Source organism: Homo sapiens, chromosome 3 (genome assembly GCF_000001405.40).
Source record: "Homo sapiens chromosome 3, GRCh38.p14 Primary Assembly".
Taxonomy (NCBI): Eukaryota; Metazoa; Chordata; class Mammalia; order Primates; family Hominidae; genus Homo; species Homo sapiens.
The window spans coordinates 40,010,001-40,032,066 of NC_000003.12; the positions used below are offsets into that span (position 1 = coordinate 40,010,001).

Below are 22,066 nucleotides of genomic sequence, written 5' to 3' on the forward strand. Positions count from 1 at the left end.
GAGCCTAGGGAGAAAATGCTGTCCTGGGAACTCAGAAGAAAGGACAGTGAATGAGAGGGTCCTAGGCAGATGGCCAGCCATTCAAGGGCAAGCCAAGGTGGGAGCTGTATATGCAGGCAGAATATCCAGGGTGCCTGAGGGAATGGAGCCAGAAAGAATGCAGCGAGAGGGAATGCAACAGCACTGCTTGTTCTGAAGCACAAAGCCAGCAGATTTCTGGGAATTTGCTAGACAGCAAGGCCAAGGAGAAAGCATTGCCAAGACTTGAGGAGTTAGGGTCACCAGGAACTCACGGAAAGCTGGCCTCTGAGAGTGGCAGCTGAGGGGACAGCAGAGCTTCCTGTGCCTCCCAGTGCCTGGAAGGGAGGAGAAAGAGCAGAGGAGCCCTGGCCACCCCAGATATTCTAGTAGGAGACAGCCATAGAGGTGCCGGGTAGCAGTAACCATTTCTAAACCCTACAGGCCTGTGAAATGAGAGTTCTTTATAGACCTACTTGCTTCCACTTGATTCCAAGAGCAGAACAGGACAGCCCATCATGAACCAGTGAGGCTTGGTGGCTTCAGAAGTCCATGTAAAGATAGATGCTTTAAAACAGGGTTGGTTTTAGTCACACCTCATGGCCCACCTCATTCCAGGTGCATTTAGAATGTTTCTACATGCTCTACTATGCTTTGCATTGGTTCTTCAGCCAGTATGGTTGCTCTAAGCTGCCATACCTCCCCTGCCCCTACTACACATTTAAGGGACCTAAGGATGTCAGAAATCTCTTAGGATGCCTGGTCCTGGTTCTGGTTCTGGACTTCTTGTGCCATCCTGCTTTCCTTTCACTGTCATCTTGCTCTGAATCTTGCCTCTCTCTGCCTCCTGATGCCAACTTTATCTCATTCTTGCTGTACTTGACCTTGACCCTGCTCTTCTGTCTCAGAGTTAGTTTTATCTGCATATATGTGAATAACCCATTTCTCTTTTACATAAAAAAAATCAGCAGTGGGTTTAGGACTAGTGGGGTGGCTCCCCCATGTCATTGAGAACCCAAGTTCCTGCATTTCTGATCTACACAGCCTCTCAAAGACAAATCATAGATCAAGATGGCAACTAGAGCTCGAACCAGCATGGACAGAGGGCAAGATGGGGGAGAAAAGGCAGAATGACAAAATGGTGACCCTCCTTGCTGAATGAGCTCCCTCTAAGCATCCTATGCCCCACACATCACAGCCACTTTTATGTCATAGGCCAGGACCTAGTCACATGGCCACACCTAGCTGCAAGTGGTGCTGGGAAACACAGTCTTCATTCTGGAAAGCAATACCTAGAAATCAAGATTCTGTCATTAAAGAAGAAGGGAGGAAGGGTACTTCCCTTCCCTCTTTCTATTCCTTCTTTCCTTCAGTGACCTAGGCTCACCGTTAATCATGGTTTGGGCGTTTCTTCTGGGTTCAGTATCTCATACTGCCAAGTATGAATGAAAACTAATACACATCTAACCTTAACTTAGTACCAACATCATAGCCATTCTTTGAGCTTCTCTGTCTTCTTCTGCACACTGTTGCTCACCACTGTTTGCCCAAATCCATTGCATTGATCTAGACACCTGCCTTGTTGTGATTAAGCTCACACAAAGCACTACAGCAGCTGAAGGCAAACACAGTTTCTGTCCTGAATCCTTTCTCTCTTTTTTTTGGTTTAATGAACCAATTTGACAGATAGATTTAGAATAGGAAAGTAAAGTTCCTGGGGCATATAAAAAGTAAACAATCTCTACTTCAACTTTGGAAATTCTTTCAGGCAATAAAATAATAAGTAAATACACAAAATGAAAAAGCTCAAAAGCTACAGCCTCAAGGTACCCTAGTTCAGTGATTTGCAATCTAAGTAGAGGAATCCATTTAAAAAAATCTCAGGCTGATTTCCAATATGTAAAAGATATAAAATGGTGTTTTAGTTCCATAAATTTACTTATACATCATAATATATACTTACTTATAAACACTACCAATTAAATAAAATGAAGCTATATTAATAAGTTTAACTATTTGAAACCCGGATTTACAGATGTAGTCTTACAACAATGTTAATACCCAGTTTATTTCTATGTGCATTTTTTTGTTTGATTTCATAATATCATGGAAATCTGGATATAGACAGATAAGTAGTTCTTTTTACGGTTTATCTCACAGCTTCAGTCATGTTCTTCAATCAAGTGTAGATGACAAGGGCAGCTTTCTTCTGAATCCACCTAGTACAGAGTGGTAAATGACCCTGGCAGCTCCAGATAACCGACTGGTGGCTTCAAAATATTAAAATTCAATACATGATGTGTTTAAATGTGCATGTTGTTTTTTATTTCAACATTATAAATAGTTAAGTATATTAAAATGGAATTAAACCCAACAGTTACAGAACCCCTGGAATACTGAAGTCCATGGAGACATCTCCAAGTGTAATAGCTTAGGTTTTTGTCTCACCAAAGTTGCCTGTGGTCGTTAATTTTATGTGAACTTGACCGGGCCCCAGGGTGCCCAAGTTAAATATGATTTCTGAATGTGCCTGTGAGGGAGTTCCTAAGTCAGATTAGCATTTGAATAGGTGGACTTAGTGAAGCAGATCATTCTCCCCGCTTGTGGATGGGCATCATCCAATCCACTGAGGGCCTGGATAGAGCAAGAGGTAGAGGAAGGAAGAATTTGCCACCTTTTACCCTGCCTCATAGAGTAAGCTAGAACATCTCATCTCATCTTTTCCTGCCCTTGGATTGGGATTTATGCCATTGGCTTCCCTGGTTCTCAGGCCTTAGGACTGGAACTGAATTACCCCACTGACTTCCCTGGGGTTCCAGCTTGCAGACAGCAGATCATGGGAGTTCTCGGCCCCCATAATTGCATGCGTCTACATATATACACACACATTCTCTCTCTCCCCTATTGGTTCAGTTTCTCTGGAAAACCACATCACACCTGCATTCCACTCCTCTTCCTTCACTGCCCTGCCAGCTCCCCTCAAGGAGTGTCTGGTCTGCACTTACTGAGGGAGGAATTACACTCCCTTTTTGCATTTCTTGCCGACACTGTTGCTATTTGCTGCAAGCTGCATTTCTATTTTTCAGCCTGTACAGCTTCTCTCTGGTTACCCCATGTCCCCCTCCTCACACCTTTCTCTATTGTGTCTTTAGTGAGGGAGGTCTGGGTGAGACAAGCAGGACATGGGGTTAACAGAGCGAATCACGTTTTTGCACTTCCATTATTACTCTCGTGTCAATCCTGGAGAAGTAAGAACCTTAACAGTACCTTGCTTCTGTGATGTGCAGGAGAAGCAAGTGTGCAGAATGGTCTCTGCTGGAAGAAGGAAACCTTTTATTCCCGTGGAAGGAAAGAGATCATGGAAGTGTCTTACAAAGTGCAGCACCCAGATTTTAGGAGCCCAAGCTGTGCACATGCTGTGCTGGTTCAGAAGAGAAGGAGTCTTATTCCTGTCTGAAACTTTCCCCTGAGATCAGAACATGTGTCTTCATCCAGCAGCAACATACTGGAAAGAGGGAACCTCTGTTGTTTTCTGTGGCATCTCACCAACTATGGGAAGTGGTCTGCTGTGGAAAAGAGAAATTGGGACTTCAGGATGGGGCTTGGATTCCAGCCCAGGCTTAACCACTCATTAGCTTTGTGAGCCTGAGTTAGTTTCATAACCTCTCTGTGCCTTGGTTTCCTGATACGTAAAATGGAGGGATGATGGCTGCCTGCCTCTACCACACATCATCACTGTGCAACTAAATGGAATCAGCATCTGCAAAAGTTCTTTGTGCCTGTGGAGGTTGCACATTGTCATTTTAGGCAGCTCAGGCATATCTGAGAGCCAGTGAGCAGCTTATTAATTTAAAACATAAAGGATGCTTAATTTCTCACTTCTGTTCTCATCCTGTCTGGTTCATATTCTAAACACAGCTCCTGTTGTATTGGGTCCCAGTGCCAGCGGCACTAAAATCTATTGATGTACCATAAGCATTAAATTTATTCATAAGCATAACTCCATTTTCATAAGGAGGAGGAAACATCTCTCTTAGGGCATTTTGTATACTTGATGTTTAGGAGGATATTTATAAGGAGGCATTTTTTTGGGTTTGCTTTCCTGTGAAACTGTGATGATTTAAGATTCTTATTTAATTAAATGTGTATTTTGCCATTTCTACCCATATAAACAAAATTATGAGTGATTTGTAAACATTTCCAGAATTCCCAAGATCAAAATCTTAAAAGGCTCCTTTGGTATAATTTATTTGAATTTTTTCCCTGTGCTAAATAAATCTTAAGAAATAATAAGGAGAAATAATAAGCAAAATGTGAAACAGTTTACACAATTTACAAAATAATGGTTTTAAGTTTCTTTGACTCCCATCTTTCATATTATTTTCCTGCAGACATCCAGACATTCAGCAGAACATCCCCTGGGATCTTGGGATGAGAACAATTACCCCCATTAGCATTCTGAGGATGTCATGGAGCAGTGGGAAGAACCTGGGCCCTGTACCTGGGACACTTGGACCCACACCAGAGTCCACTACTCCCTGGACAGTCATCCCTCCACTGTGCCTCAGTTTCCTCACATGTACAATGAGGACACCAAGCCTTACACTCTTCCTGTACTTCCTATTCCTGCCACCATTGTGGTCTATGGTAGTTTCTATCTCTCTGGAAAGGTCTTACATGTCGAGTCATTTTATAATGAGGCTCAAAGGCTGGTGACCTGGGAAACTTGTCCCAGTTACATACATTTTGTTGGATCCATGTACATGTTTTGAATCAGGAAAATTTACATAAAAATTTAATTGGGAGCTTTTATTGAGAAACTAGAGGATTTGCAATGCTGGCCTTACGTTACAGTTTTTGTCTGGGCTTGAGTTACCTCTGGCACTTCATTGGGTCAGAAGGTCTGGGCTCTCCTGCTCCCCAACATACCCTGGTCTTTCACACTCATCTCACCTGTCCAGACCGTGTGCCCAGGGGAGTTTGGTGATCTTTTAGCAAAGTCCATTCTATTTGCTTTTCCTAGTGGGGCAAGGCAGTTAGTGGAGGTGTCTCTAAGAATGAGAGATGACCTCAACTTTTAGTGGATCTGTTTTATTAAGCACAAGTTAAGAAGATGCCTACCTTCCAAAGTTGCATTTTGTTCTTGCTGGTTCCTCATAGAACAGTGCTGTGAGGAATCTCAGAGTTCTAATTGGCTTATGTGATTACATCTGGAAGTAATTAGGTTGGGTCTAAAAAATATGGCTGCAAGGTGAGTGAGAGTTCAGTTATGAATTTGTTCAGGTTTGTTGCAGGCCCCTGTCCTCCACCTGAGAGCTCCAGGGAGCAAGGGCCAAGTGGAGAGCCAGTCAGAGTACTGCAAAGACAAGTGAGAGAAGCTTTGATCAGGGTTGAGACATGACCCTGAGTCACACTTCAGGCTCACCTTTCACAGAGGCTACAGTAACATTCCAAGAACATCTCCCTCACAATCATGGATTCTGGGACCAGCAGGGTCATAGCAGGGCAATGCCAGAGGAGGGGAGCTCTAGGGGGCCCTGCATTCCCCTCTGCAAGGGAGCCAGATTCTGCACAAGGGTTGGGTGCCACAGGCTGGCCCAGTGGCATGGCCTGGTAAGCTCCTTAGCCAGGACAGCCAGGCAGGTTGTCATCATCTGCTGTTCCTCCCTCAGCCCTCAGTGTGTATCTGCAGCAGGGACTTCTGTGCATGCTTGCACTTGGCAATTGATCTTATTTTGTACTCTGTGTCTTTTAAAGACATTATTATGATAATACTGTTGATAAAACTGAACAACACCTATAACCTAACATCATATCTATTTTGAAATTTAGTAAATAAGAAAGTTTATCTCACAAACCACTCCTAACTGCAGTCCAGTTTCTATAACATTCCCCACTTCACTGAAACCACTCTTCCTAGTGGTTTTAGTAACTCTAGTGAACACATTTTGGTCCTCATATTGCTTGACCTCTTTTGGCATTGGGCAAAGGTGGCCATGCCCTCCTTGAAGAATTCTTGCCACATCCCCCACACCCTCCTGATTTCCTCCTACTCTGTCTACCGGCCTCACAGGTAAGCAGGTGGCTTGGTCCTAGACTCCCTTCTTCCTTCTGTCCTCTTCTCCTTGGATAATTGTGTCCACTCCCATCTCTATGCTGGTGACTACTGCATTTTTATCTTCTGCCCAGCTTCTCCTCTGAGCCTCCGACCTGTGTTTCCTCTTGGCTATTCCACATTTCTGCTTTGATATTTTAGTAATGGCTGTTGGTGCCTCATCCAGAACCCCTTCACTGCCAGGTATGCCTATCCCCCAGTTCTGTGAGTGTGGGGCAGCTGCGAGCCCTTAGCAGCCCTTTCAACCAGTCGTCCTCCACCAAACAGGATCTGCCTCCTTCAAGCCTTTTCCCAATTTGGAGGCAAGATCTCTGCCAATGACCAGCTGATGTAGGATACAAAAAGCCCAGCCCTCTTACTTCAGGTGGGATAACTCTGTGCTGTAATCCATGCTCCAGAGTTCCCCATGGGGTCAGACTGAAGCCGACTGCAGACCAGACCACAGCCAAGACTGCAGCCTTGCTCAGCGGGTTGTCCTGGCCCAGCCCTGTTTTTCTCACTGCTCCCCACCTGAGGGAATTCCTTTCAACACAGTCTCCATCTCAGGCTCTGCTTATTGAATCTGATCTAAGTCAGAGGTCATTGTCACAGCTTGAAATTACTGTATCTCAAACTTAATGTCTCCCAACCCCTCAGTGTCTTATTAACGTACACAAAGCATACGTGCAGTCAGTTAAAGTTTGTGCGGATTACAAGTCACAGATTGCCATATATCATGGCTCAGTCAGGTTTCCTGTAAAGAGCTGGCCAGAGTTGCTGGGCAGGGCCAGGTGTTACCTTCTTCTCCAGGTGAGGACATGGAAATTCTGAGAGGATACATACAAAGATCACACTCTAATGGGTTCTTGAACTCCACATGCAATTCCCCTCATTGACATAATTACAGAGATCTGATTTCTGTCTTTTGGATTTCTGGAATTTCTGACCTCTGTCTTTTTGAATTTACTATTTAAAGCCACTTAACAAAATATTGGATACCTATACATGGAATATAACATTTTAAAATTTGAAGAGAACTTTAAGCAAAGCCAAATGCAAGTCTCCTGCACTCCCACTTCCTTGCACATCCAGGAATGAAGCAAACATTACTAATCAAACAAGGCACCTTTCCCAGTGTATCTAGATGTGCCCTCAGAATTCTTCTTAATACAGTTCTCCAAATGACCACTACAAAACGATGAGTGTATGTTTAGATACAATGCTGGATAGAGATAGAAACTGGAACTCTCCATAACCCTTGATCAGGTTCAATCCCTTTACTGAACGCATGAGCAGACTGAGTTCTCATTAGGTAGGGCTTGCTCAGGATGAGGCAGCCTGTTAGTAGACAAGTCAGTTCTCAAACCCAACCCAGCTGACCCCTGATTCTGTATTCTTTTGAACATCTAATTACTCATATTTGTATCTCTGTTTGTTTTGCTTGAATACCTAGCACCAACAGAAGTTTTTCTGAAAAAGATACATAAGGGAACTTTGAACAATTTCCTAAATTCATTTAATCAGGTAGATTTCCTGGAAAAGAGCTGAGAGTCTAAAATAAATAAAGAAATAATTTACTTCTTTTTTTTTTTTTTTTTTTTTGTCTGAAGGTGAGCAGTATTAGACAAGGAACTGACTTACTCCGGAAATTCCAGTTGTACCTAAGATGTCTAATAAGGCCAGACTGTGAGTTTTTGGAGAAAGAATCAATTTGGTTTTCAGTTTAGCAGGTTAAATGTATATTTTTAATGTGAAGGCTTTCCCTCTTTTCACTATTTAGCCTAATGAGTAATCAGCTTTGTCTTTTGTTAATTTGTGACTGGGTGTTACTGTGCATTTTCATTGTGAACAGGCAGAAATGAACTAATTTCTCATGCAAAATGAGAGAATTGAGACCTCTATGAACTTTAAACTAGAAGTTTTCTCGTTTCCTTATGAATGTATCAATCATAGTTCAGCAAGATGTACATGAATTAGTGTTGCCTGTCCCTCTTTTGGAGGCACCTCCTTATTTGGCTGCCACATTACTGCATTATCTTGGTCTCTGTCTCAACACTCTGACAGATTTCTTGGTTTCATCAGTGCTTTTGTATTCTTTTGCTCCCTAACTATTGGTAATTTTCACTGCTTATCTTCAATATCTTCTCTTTGCTCTTTTACCATCAGAAATTGACTCACAGTTTCAGCTCCCACTTTTACAAGGATGATGCCATGATATAAATCGAGTGCTTGTCTCTCTCTCTCCAGAGCTCTATCCAGTCTGCTTTCCTGTCTCCCGCTAAACATGTTCACTTTGCTTTCAGTGAGTGAGACTAAATGCATGGTTTGCTACCCCAGTCTTCATTCTGACTTTCTTCTTCCTCTCCACAGTGTGTTCCCCTTATCATATGGGTTATGCAGACCAAAGACATGAGTGGTCTTTTGGTCCCTCATTTCCTGTCCCTCATTTCCTGTATCCCAGGCTTCACATCCTCTCAAATGTTTCGTCACCATGTCACTCATGCCCACATCACCCTTCCTGCTTCCACTGCCACCTCCCTGGTCCAGACTTTGCCAGCATTGGCCCTTGTCCCCTTCCTCTCACAGCTTCTACCTTTCCCATAGGCCCAGTAATTATAGCAATCCAGGGACTCCAAAAAGAGGTTACTTCCATAGGCAATGCTTCTAACATTATGGACAATCAAATCAATAAACTAGTCACAAAAAATAAGCATGAGAAAAATACTGGAAAGAAATGATCCCAAATAATAATACACCTCACCTATCTAACAGCCCATACCAGAAACCCCACTTCCATCCCCAGCTTCTCACTACAATGAGCTCCAACATTCTATGCAGCAGACTACTTAAAAACCTCTTTTTCATTACTTCCTCTTCAGTTCCCTTACCTGGTCTTCCCTGATGCTCTCAGCTTTTGTAACCATCATTGTTACCAAAAGTTTTAACTAATGTCTCTCCTCTGATCCTGCTAGCAACCTTCTAATCCATTCTCTTGTGTCAGAGGTTTCTCTTTTTAAAGTAGATTGATAGTTTCATTGCCCATCATTGCCAATGAATTTGTCTTCTTGTCCCATTTACTTTAAAAAATGTTCATTCTTTGGGGTGGTGTGCAAGGCCCCTTAGGACCAACCACAAACTTAACCTGCTCCCCAGCCTTTCCTCACTATTTCTGACTCCAACTACTGAACCAACCACTCATACCTTCTCAAACACACCACGTTCAGTTATGTATCTGTACCTTTGTACAAGGTGTCTTCTCTCCCTACAATATCCTGCTCCATTCTCCTGCTAGTGAACTCCTGCACATCCTTCCTGGCCTAGCACAAGCAGCGATGCTTCTGTAAACTGCACCCCACCTCCCTGATTGCCCACCTCTGCTGCCTCCTTACATGCCTATTGACATGCCTGTCTCTTGTACCTCGGACTTTGTTCTGTGGCTATGTTTTTACCATTGTCTACTCCCTTAGGCTGTGAACTGTGATTTATTTTATGTCCCCAGCACCTGGCAGAGAGCCAGGCATAAAATAGGAGCTTAAAGTCTTGGATGAATGAATACATGAAAGAATGAATGAATGTTCCAGGAATAAGGGAAACAATTCAATCCCCCCCCCGCTTTTTTTTGTTAGACAACACATAAAATGTGTTTTTTTTTTAAGTGTGAATTACCATTAGCACAATACCATTACCATTAGCATTGCAAGTGATTCAAATTAATGAGAGATACTCTACTTTGGAAAGAAAACTTTTTGGGCATTCAAATGGACTTAGTGAACAAAATTAATATCTCTGCAAGATGATAAGGATATATGTTTTGAACTGACATCTTTTAGGATTATTTTAAAGTTCCTTCTGTATTTGAATCTACATTTTTAAAAATAATTTCAGCTTTTATTTTAGATTCATGGGATACAAGCACTGGATTGTTACATGGGTATATTGCATGATGCTGAGATTTGTGATACAGATAATCCCCATCACTCAGATAGTGAGCATAGTACCCATAGATAGTTTTTCAGCCCAAAACTCCTCTCTCTTCCACATCTAGTACTCCCCAGTGTCTGTTATTCCTGTCTTTATGCTCAGGTGTGCTCAATGTTTACCTCCCACTTACAAGTGACAACATGTGGTATTTGGTTTTCTGTTCTTGCATTAAGAATTAATATGTGTTTAATACCAATTTATTCTTACCAATTATTACTTCTAGATGTGTGATAGAGTCAACAAATAGTTGCAGCTGTTTAAGTTACTTGATTGTATTTATTTCTAGAAATAGAATTCATACATCATTACTTACACCTTTCGAGTTTTGTGCCTTGGTGTTTTCTTTGGTCCAACGCCCTGGCTGTTTGACAAATCTTACCAGACAGTGCTTAAATTTCGAGTGAAGATGAACATTAAAGACAGGAACAGACAAGTGACCAACCTGTGTGAAGTAGCACGTGTTATTTTGGGCCTGGTAACTGTCTATGGACTGAGGAGGGCTTTACTAGGAAATCATAAGGTTTTCCTTGAGCTCAAACGTATGGGTACAGAATATCAGTTGCAAAGATGGTATATGCACCCAGGAAGAACTGTACGTGTAGCAAATGGCAGACTTTATATGTAAGGCATATAATCACTTTTCTTGGCCCCCCTGATTTTTCTAATTTATAATTTTGATATTTGTATCTTGTATTCTCAAAACTGTTGGCAGTGTACCTCTCCAACACCATTGTAGCCAACACGTTGATATCAAGTGCTAACATGAACAAGCTTCAGTTCTGGAAGCTGTGCAAGTGAAGGGATTCCACCAGGCCCCTGGATGCTCATCATTCCAATATGGGGTGTAGCCATGTATGAGCATACTCTAGAAAGCAAGCAGAGTAAAGCATGGAAGCCCCTCTTCTCTACCTCCACAGATCTTGTAGGGATTAATTCTGCCAAATGCCTCACACATGCTAGCATTCCATAAAGATAATTCCCATTCCTTTTTATAAAAGCATGACTAAGGCAAGGAAGCCTTTACCCCCCTTTGCTCTGGTAAGGGAGATGTCACAGAAATGTAATATTTTAAGATGCTTTTAAAAAACATTCTGTAGGATTTTTTGATAGTTTTTGTACACAAATTTAGGAAAGGTGGTTCACTATACAGTAATAAGGGAATTTCCAGTTAGGAGGATCAGCTGTAGATAGACATCAGAGGGGTAGCTGGCTTAGCAGCTAGAGGGCATCACCAGTGAGACTTGGCATCTCTCCACAAACTGACATTTACCTTTACAAATATTCTCTTCTAGATGGATTAATCAAATATTAATAGAATTAAAGTAGGAGTTCACATACAATGCATGATGCATTAAATGTCAGAAAATGTGTGATGATCTGAGCTGTAGAGATCCTCTGAGCCTGTGTTCATCTTAGATGAGTGACAGAATGAAGTCTGGAACATTTCTATCTTGTTTACAACAACCAAGAGCGTGATGACAGTTTCATTTCTCTTGGGAGATAGTTTTTTTGCTCAAGGTCAAATCTACATCAGTGTGCCCAACAACAGGAAGAAAATTCTCTAGGACAAAAATATCTATTTCTGTGGGCACCATGTGATACAGGTTTTGACCAACTCTGGAGGAGTGCTTGTACTCAGCCAAAGGCTTGAACTTTGGAAATTTATTTGTATATATTATTAGTATGTGAAGGAGGAATGAAACAGCTTTAAATTCTGACATATTGTACTTATCTTTTATTCAGAAATAAGAATCCTATCCCTTAGTGGCACTGAAGATGTGAAAACCACTTGTCATCATATATGTCTGAATATTATTTTAGCTTTCCTATGGTGCTTAGTTTCAGGTAGATTAAAAGCAGACACAAAGCGGAAAGTTTTGCCTTATGCAAGATCCAAATTTATAGATGCAAAGGAAGAATTGATCAAATGTTCAGTTGTTTTGCCTACATGTTTTTTACAGTGTTAGAAGCCTAAACAATTAATTGTTAGGAAGTTTTAATTTTCATTTGTCCACTGCTCATGCTTTATCATAATCTCTTGCCCATTGGTTGAACTTGTATTTGAGGAGAAAGGACATGCACACCCAGCCACATGATTCAGGCCAATCCTCCTGTACTAGGGACGAAGGTGGCCATTCCTGTCCTCCTCTTTAAGGAGTTCATTGTCCTATCAAAGGCACATAAGGAAAGTATTAAAATTCAGTGTGGTATGGGCTATAATCGAGTTAAGTACAAAGCAGTAGCTATGCATGGCAGAACTAGAGACTTGGTAGAGAAGATGACATTTGAAATGTGAGTCTTCAAGGAAAAAGATAAATTTGTCAGTAAGGCAGGGAGGGAATGGCACAGCATGTGGAGGAAAGGACACAGGCATGCACAGGGATGGAGCACTCTTTACAGCTCAAGGGATCAGCACAAAGGAGTCATCATCAAATGGCTCTGAGTATTCATGGAGGCATTGTTTTTGACATTTGTTTTGAGGCAGATCTCTCTGCTCTGGTCATTGAAGGCAGCTTGGAATGCTCGTGTGCAATGCAGGTCGGGGATGTGGAGCGTTCAAGCTAAGCCAATGGCAGAGCAGGAGCAGGGAAGGTGCCATTAAGGGTATTTTAATGCAGAATGGGTAGGATTTAATGCAAGATTAAAGCCTGAAGTAAAAGAGAGGGAAAAGTAGAGAATGACTCTTAGGATTCCAGAGGGATCTTTGGATAGAAGTTATGCTCTTTAGGAAAAAATACAGGAGTGGAAATAATACATGTATTATTAGATATTTTGAGTATTTTAGACGTTTTGAGTTTGATTCCACATAAGATCGTGACCTGGAAAAGAGACTGGCAGTTACAGATCCTAGGCAAAAATTCCAGGCAGTGACAATTCCTATGAGAAAATGTGAGACTGAAGACATGAGAACCACTGGCACATTAACAGTAGTTTATGACACACATATGGATTACACTCCTCGATGGGGGAATATAGAACAAGGAAGGAAGTGGTCTAAGGAAAAAACTCTTGGAAAGAAAGAATGAAACATGAATTAATCTGAAGAGAAAGCCAGGTGGCTTTGAGGGAGTCACTGGTGTCAGGAGAACAGAATGGTCACAAGTGCAGATGTCAAGGAGGCCATGTGGAATGTGGACTTTAAAAAAATCTGGATTTGACAATACGTGACTTCAGCTCTCTGATGTGTCAGTCAGGGTTCCATCAAGAAAACAGAAACCATCTAAATATTTCATACAGAGAGTTTTTGATTTGGGAAACTGCTTACAAGAGTATTAGAAGAGTTGGAAAAGCAACAGGAAAAACATAATGTTACCCAGAGATCAGTAACCATGCAGGCTGCCCCAGACTTAGGGTTGGAAGAGGAGGAAAGAGTGTTTAAGTAGGATCCCACAAGCCTGCACTCACTCGATGACATCACTGCTGCTGCTGCCACTCTTACTACTGATGGGACCCCCACTGCAAGAAGGAACCAAGCCACATTCACCCACAGTCTCCTGCCTCTGCTGGAATGTAAAGCCGAAAAATGACGTCTCCCTTCCACCTCCAGTCTCACACAAATGCCTTCCATTGGCAGAGCCTAACCAACAACAGCAGGCAGAAGAATCTAGGAAAGGTGGTTTCCAAGCTTCCAGCCCCCTGTGCTACACAGAGGAGACTATGGAAATGGGAGTGGAAGAAAGAGGCTTGGTCCCAACAGTTAATATCTCAGAGAAGGAACTAAGGCAACTGTTTTTATATCCTAGATACTGTTCTTTCTCCTTTTTCAAAATGATAATATGTAGTGTGTGCCCATTTTCACAGGATGTAACAGGGTGTCATGGGTTTATCAGTGATTCATGGATTTTGTGACTTTTTTGATGATTAATAAAGATTTAGGGCACAGTTTTCTCTAAGATTAATGTGGCCTATGTGAGACTAAACACAAAGAAGAAATGGGCTACACATAAGAAAGTGGGTGGTGGAGGAAGTAGGGTACTCGCTCTTGTCAAGGACATGTGGAACCTGACTTTATGGAAAAGGAAGCTTCCTCTACTTGTATATGAAACATTCTCTGTCAGCCACCTTTATTCTCATCCCTCACATCTCCACTTTTCTTGGGCTACTGCTCAAATGAAGTCATTCATAGCTCTTAAATGAAGGATCCTGGTCTGTCGTATGCACTGTGGCTGATTTGAGAAGGTGGGAAATAAGATTGACCTTTCCACTTAACAGAGTTGTGAAGATAGTGATTGTCAAATGGTGTTTTGTGGAGGAGGCTGCCCTGAGCTACCATGAGATTAGGGAAGCAGACATAGCTGGAGATGATTGGGTGGTGGGAGGTGCAGGAGGCGGGATGGTGCTGGAGGGCAGGTGCAGAGAGAGATGGGACAGTCAGCAACTTCAGGTAGGGATATCTACTTCACGTGTTTCCACTGGATCTGATGAGCCTACAGACTTGGAATTGTGTCTCCTCTGTAGGCTAGATGCTTTTTGTGGGTTTTTTTTTTTTTTACATGTCCCTGGCCAAAGTCTAGGTTTATGATGAAGCACTGGTATGCTGTGGTATAATACGAGTGTACAGTGTGATGATCCCAGCTTTCTCGCAGCTGTTCTCTCATTGCTCTTTTCAAGAAAATACTTGTAATGCTCTTAAGATACCCTCACTGGTTATTAGAGAGCTTTCCACCTGCTCAAGGTCAGGAGTGGATGTGCCTGATTTCACTCTCTGGCTATTGGCCAAATATTCCAGATGATCCAATGGAGAGATGGGAGCCTTTTCTGAGCACCTGCTGTGGAGCAGAATCTTAGCTGGTTTGAACTGAAATAATTCCAGACATTTATGGGGCAGCTTTTACTTTTTGGTGCCTGCTGCACAACTCTGGTACATTTTCTTATTTATTTCTGCAACAAGCATTTCAGGATGCTGCTGATATCCCTTCTTTGCCAAAAAAAGAAACCAAGGTTTAGAAGACTGAGTGGCTCATAGCTGTGAAGAACAGAGCTGGAGCCCTCAGTCTCTCCCAACATCCATGTTGACTGAGCTACTCGCTGAACCTGAGGCTAGTGAGGTTCCTGTAGCCTTATCAGACAGCACTCATGTGGGATGAGTGGGGCATGGCGAGTGCTCCAACTGTCCAGGTTCTGGATTAAAATGGTCCCCTCCATTTATAACTGGTAACCACAAAGCGTATTGTTGTGTGTCATTAACATTTGGAGGGAATGTTTAAATTTGATTTTCTTTACTCATAAATCTGTGGTATCAAGGGCTCTGTTAGCCTTGACAGATTTTTTTTTTTATAACACCGTCAGGGGCAGCAAAATGATTCTGTCTGAAAGTACCTAATGGGAGAGTGATATTACCCATGACAAACTAAACGCAAAGTATACTTTTAAATTATCATGAACACTGTTAATATTGTTATACTCTAAGGTGGGTTTACCCTTTGGAGCCCAGCTCTTAAAAGCATTTGTAACATTGCTGTAAGAAGTATTCCATGAGGTATTGGGGGAACCCGCCCCCAATATTTCAATGTAGGTTCTTTCTATTTTCCCTAAGTGTCGGCTGGTCTGAGAAATAAAGAGAAAGAGTGCAAAGAGAGAAATTTTACAGCTGGGCCACGGAGGGTGTCATCACATATTGGTAGGTCCACGATGCCTACCTGAGCTGCAAAACCAGCAAGTTTTATTAAGGATTTCAAAAGGGGAGGGGGTGTACGAACAGGGAGTAGGTCACAAAGATCACATGCTTCAAAGGGCAAAAGGGAGAACAAAGATCACATGCTTCTGAGGAAACAGAGCAAGAACAAAGCAAAGATCACAAGGCAAAGAGCAAAATTAGAATTACTGATGAGGGTCTATGTTCAGCTGTGCACGTATTGTCTTGATAAACACCCTAAACAACAGAAAACAGGATTCGAGAGCAGAGAACCAGTCTGACCTCAAATTTACCAGGGTGTGGTTTTTCCCCACCCTAGTAAACCTGACGGTAATGCAGGAGACCAGAGCGTATTTCAGTCCTTATCTCAGCCGCATAAGATAGACACTCCCAGAGTGGCCGTTTATAGACCTCCCCCCAGGAATGCAATTCTTTTCCTAGGGTCTTAATATTATATTCCTTGCTAGGAAAAGAATTTAGTGATATCTCTCCTACTTGCACGTCTGTTTGTAGGCTCTCTGCAAGAAGAAAAATATGGCTCTATTTTGTCCGACCCCGCAGGCAGTCAGACCGTATGGTTGTCTCCCTTGTTCCCTAAAATCGCTGTTATTCTGTTCTTTTTCAAGGTGCACTGATTTCATATTGTTCAAACACATGTTTTACAATCAGATTTCATGTTGTTCAAACACACATGTTTTACAATCAATTTGTACACTTAACCCAATCATCACAGGGTCCTGAGGTGACATACATCCTCAGCTTACAAAGGTAACAGGATTAAGAAATTAAAGTAAGACAGGCATAAGAAATTATAAGAGTATTATTAGAGAAGTGATAAATGTCCATGAAATCTTCACAATTTATGTTTCCTCTGCCATGGCTCCAGCCAGTCCCTCCATTCAGGGTCCCCAACTTACTGCAACAATGAGGGATCTGCTTCCTCACTTCACATTCACTGTTCAGTCTGCAACAGTCTGGCTCCTGCCTAGCTTCCACCACTGAAATTGCCTTTCTCAGAGTTACTGCTGACCCCCATGCAGCCAAATCCAGTGGATATATCACTGTCCTCACAGCAAATAGCCATCCACTCTCCCCTTCTTGAAACATCCTCCTTGTTCCTCCTCAGTCCTTCTGTCTGGCTTCCCCTCTTCAGCCTTTTTCCCTGAGCTTAAATGTTTGGGGTTTTCTTGGCTTGTTCTTAGGCCCTCTTTTCCCCCTGGCTGCCCCATCCCTCTAGGGTGGCTCATCCATTCCCCTATGTGTAAAGACGTTTATGATGATGACTTCCAAGCTCACTTAGCTGGCCCAGCCCTTCCTCTGAGCTGCTAAAACCCACATCCAGGTGTCCTCTTGGCATTGCTCTTCAGATGCCTCACAGATTTCACTAAAACTTGCTCCTGCCCACCCTAGTCTTCTCTCTTTCCATGAACAGCTTCACTCCCCACGTAGTTACACAAGCCAGAATCTGGTTTGCCCTCTCTCCTGGCCCTCAACAGGTGCAACAGAGATCAGCCCACTTCCCTGCACTCTCCAATGACTCCTGCCCAGCCCAAACCTCAGTCACTCTCACCAAGATGACTGCAGTGCTCCCCATGCTTCACACATGCAAGGTCCTCTAAGAGTGGGCTTTACTGACAGTGGCTGATAGTTCCCTGCTCACATCCTCCATAACTTCCCCCTTGCACTTGTGCTCCTCCTGTCTCCCCCCAATACTAAGCTCTTTTTCTTTGCTACTTGTTCTGTCTGGGATGCTGTGTCTTCCATTGGACTAGCTCCTTCTCATCTTCATGTTTTAACTGAAATGCCACTTCCCCAGAGAAGCCCTCTCTTGCCACCAATCTAAAGTAGGTCCTGATGTTATCTTCAGTCTGAGTATCCTACTTATTCTTATGAGAATACCTCATAATTTATAGTTACTTTGTTTTGTTTAATTATTTATCATCTGAATTCCTACCTTAATGCACATTTTATGAAGAGAGGGGCTATGTCTTTTTTTAAAAAAAATCCTTAGCACCTGTAATAATAGGTGCCTAATAAGTGTGAATTGAGAGAATGATTGACATTCTAAGCAAAGCCCATGGCTATCAAGGGGTGGCAAGATGGGCAGGGTCAAGAGGACACCTGGATGGGGGTTTCTGCAGCTCAGAGGAGGGGCGGGACCAGCTAAGTGAGTTTGGAAGTCAATTTCACAAACATCTTCACTTACAGGAATGGATGAGTCACCCTAGGGGGTCAGGGCAGGAAGCGGGAAAAAGAGGGCCAAGCTCACAGCTATAGATCAAAATTACCCTCTCTTTGGTAACTGAGTTGAAGGATAGCAAACAAGTGATGTACATGCCATCACTTCCTGCTACGCCCATGGCAGACACTGCTACCTCATCATGACACCCAACTCCATTGAGCCTGTGTGTGTCCTCTCAACACGGAATGCTTTACCCTCTAACAACCTGTCAGAGCTGGCGTGGTGATAGACCAAGAGACCATGAAATGTTAATAGGCTTTTAAGATGCCTGTTGTAAGACCAGAAGGAGACTACACCAGATGTAAGAAGATACTGCTAAAGATCAGACTAAGCATGTTCAACATCTTTAGGGAAATGCAAATAAAAGCCACAGTGAGCTAACACTTCACACCCCCTGTTACCCAGTGCTCAAGCAACAAATAAGTCTTGAGCATTATTGCCCAGACGCTATTGCAGAAACCTTCTTGACATATAGCCAAATATGTTCAAATGTTATAGATACTTGGATCACTGAATTTCTTTCTAATCCAATGGAAAGACTAGTATTTGCTTTTGTAGCTTTGCACATTTAAAACCTCTAGCAACCCTGTGAAGTAGAAATTATAAGTGCCACTCAGAAAAACAGAGGCCCCAAAAGGTTGGGGAACTTTTTGGTAAGTGATGAGCCCAGCTATGAACACTAACTTCTGATGTTAAACCCATCACTCTTTCCCATGTAGCTGACCATTTGAAGTCCTGGTCTTTCCCAAGATATTTCAAAGCAGGTAGCCTGTCTTGCATCATTCTTGGTTGATCTGTAATTAACCATTATAAGTCATACTATACAATTCTGCCCAATGACTTCTTCCATGAGATACTACAGGGCAATATAATCTAATAAGTGAGAGATGGTCTGAAGAATGGCAACCCATTCCTCCACTGAGCCTGAAAAACACCTCATTTGCTTGGAATAAATGCTAGAGGGCTTGGTACAGTTATTACTAGATACCAGTGAGCTTTAAAATGCCATTGGAATTTGCAGTCCTGTGTATCAGCAAACAAAACTCATAAAGCTCAAGTTATCTTATGGATAGAGTTCACAGAGCTTTATGATCCCCAAATAATTTTCTTTTTGGATGTTTTATCCTATTTAATTTAGTATCTCTGAGATATCGATATAAGCCAGTCAATTTGAGGCTGTTGTTATACTGTTGAGAGATGTCAGAGCTGTCAATGACTTAGCACATCTTCTGCCTTTAATCTAAGGGACTGAATAACATCTTCCTTCCTTGGAAATATCACCTCTGTTCTGTCTCCCTGTTAACATTTTATTCAGCCAAGTGTATGTATATATTTTACCCCATAGAATTATTAGCTGGTCTGACATAGTTTTCACTTACAATTCTGGATTCAGCCTCCCTTTATTATACAATAATCAGGCAACAAATAAGTACCGGGCACTTCTATGCAGAGCAGTGAGCCCTGCTCATGTGTTAGAAGATATGTAAGCCAGCTAAAGGTGCCCAAGAGCTAAAGCTGCAAAGATTCTGGATTGTCATGAACAGATGTTTATGATATATTGTTAAGTAAAAAAAGAAGTTGTAAAAACATACATAGATTTCTAAATCCAGTAGCAGGGTAAGATGAGCTGGTGAGATGCTTTCTTTTACTAAAACCAAACAAAAATACTAATAAAATGTAGGGTTTAATATAAGAAAGGGAAAATATTTGCAAATTATGTATCTGATAAGGGACTTGTATCTAGAATATATAAAAAACCCTTACAACACACCAGTAAAGGACAAATAATCTAATATAGAAATGGGCCACCTGGTCCTGGTGGCTCATGCCTGTAATCCCAGTGCTTTGGGAAGCTGAGGTAGGAAGATTACTTGAAGCTAGGAATTTGAGACCAGCCTGGGCAGCAAAGCAAGACCCCGTCTCTACAAAAAAATTATTTAAAAAATTAGCCAGGTGTAACATGCCTGTAGTCCCAGCTACTTGGGAGGCTGAGGTGGGAGGATCACTTGAGCCCAGGAGTCCAAGGCTGCAGTGAGCTATGATGCCACCACTGCATTCCAGCATGGATGACAGAGCAAAACCCTGTCTCTACAAGAAAGAAAAGAAAGGAAAGAAAGAGAGAGAAAGAAAGGGAGAGAGGGAGAGGGGAGGGGAGGAAGGGAAGGAAGAGAAAGAAGGGAAAGAAAGGAAAGAAAGAAGGAAATGGGCCAAAAATTTGAATAAACTTTTCTCCAAGGAGATGTACAAATGGCCAATAAACACATGAAAAGATGTTCAACCTCATCAGTCATTAGGGAAGTGCAAGTCAAAAGCATGAGATACCACCTCACACCCCCTAAGATGGCTGTAATTTTTTAAAATGCAGACAATTACAAGTATTGGGGAGGATGTGGAGAAATTCGAACCCTCACATCTTGCTGGTGGGAATGTAAAATAGTACAGCCATTTAGAAAACAGTCTGGCAGTTTCTCAAAAAGTTAAAAAAAGTGTTACTATGTGACCTACCAATTCTACTCCTATAATTAAAAATACACGTCCACACAAAAACATGTACATGAATGTTTATATCAGCACTCATCATAATAACCAAAAATTAGAAACAATGTAAATGTTTATGGTGAATGAATGGATAAATAAAATGGTATATCCATAAATTGAATATTATTTAGCAGTAAAAAGGAATGAAATGTTGATGCATGCTACAACATGGATAAACGTTGAACACATTATGCAAAGTGAAAGAAGCCAGACACAGAAGGCCACATATGATATTACTTCATTTATATAAAATGTTCAGAATAGGCAAACTCATAGAAACAGAAAGTAGATTAGTGGTTTGCAGAGGCTGAGGGCAGGGGAGAATGCTTCATGAATACTGAATTTCTTTTTGATGCGATGAAAATGTTACGGAGTAAGACAGTAGTGGTGGTTGCACAACTTTTTGAATATACTAAAAACCGCTGAATTGTATATACTTAAGAGGAGTGAATTTACTATGTGAATTATATCTTAATTTTTTCAAAGTCTGGGGAGGGGAGTAAGAAAGGAAAATTCCTAGAGGGTATATCAGTCTATTTGGCCGCTATAACAAAATATCATAGACTGGGTGGCTAATAAACAAAAGAAATGTATTTCTCACAGTTTTGGAGACTGGGAGGTCCAAGATAAAGATGTCAGCTGATTTGGTGTCTGTCCGCTTCCTGGTTCATAGATAATGTCTTCTCTCTGTGTCCTCACATCGTGGAAGGGCAAGGCGGCCCTGGAGTCCCATATATAATGGTACTAGTCCCATTCACGAGGATTTTACTCTTAACACCTAATCACCTCCTAAAAACATCACACTGGGGGTTAGTTTTCAACCTAAGAATTTTCACAATCATTCAGACCACAGCAGGGTAAAAGTGAAAGAAGGAATTTAAAACCAGAGTGGTCTGTCTAATCCAGTGGGAAACAGGGCTCTAGGTTCTGATGGCTAGAGGCTGCAATGCTAATTTCTGAATGGGGCAGGAGATGTGGCCTTGAGCCTTTGCAAGACAAGGCAGCTGAAAATGAGATGCCTGCTTAGAGTTTGGTCTTGAAGGGCTGTACTCTTAGTGAAAGAGAACCCAGAAAAATTTTGCCTACTGGCTTAGCGGATCTACAAAAAAAGTTTCTTTACCTGGACCATTGGGTGAGAGAAATGAAGTCTCCCATAAGAAATCAAAACCTCTATTCAGAGATTCAACTTCTTCCTGGTTTAGTCTTGGGAGGGTGTATGTGTCGAGGAATTTATCCATTTCTTCTAGATTTTCTAGTTTATTTGCGTAGAGGTGTTTATAGTATTCTCTGATGGTAGTTTGTATTTCTGTGGGATTGGTGGTGATATCCCCTTTATCATTTTTTATTGCGTCTATTTGATTCTTCTCTCTTTTCTTCTTTATTAGTCTTGCTAGCCGTCTATCAATTTTGTTGATCCTTTCAAAAAACCAGCTCCTGGATTCATTAATTTTTTGAAGGGTTTTTTGTGTCTCTATTTCCTTCAGTTCTGCTCTGATTTTAGTTATTTCATGCCTTCTGCTAGCTTTTGAATGTGTTTGCTCTTGCTTTTCTAGTTCTT

The 22,066-nt window shown here is 41.8% G+C and overlaps 1 protein-coding gene across 6 annotated transcripts in view, besides 1 other annotated feature; it reads left to right on the plus strand.

Annotated features, from left to right (window-relative positions):
- MYRIP (myosin VIIA and Rab interacting protein) overlaps positions 1-22,066 on the plus strand; it is a 451,408-nt gene that overhangs the window by 201,087 nt on the left and 228,255 nt on the right. The gene's annotated exons all lie outside the window — the stretch shown is intronic.
- Positions 12,355-12,869: an enhancer, noted in NCBI's record as "NANOG hESC enhancer chr3:40063846-40064360 (GRCh37/hg19 assembly coordinates)". NCBI's record gives its function as "activates a minimal SCP1, AML or CMV promoter by ChIP-STARR-seq in naive H9 embryonic stem cells {active_cell/tissue: H9 hESC(naive)}" and the evidence as "EXISTENCE:reporter gene assay evidence [ECO:0000049][PMID:30033119]".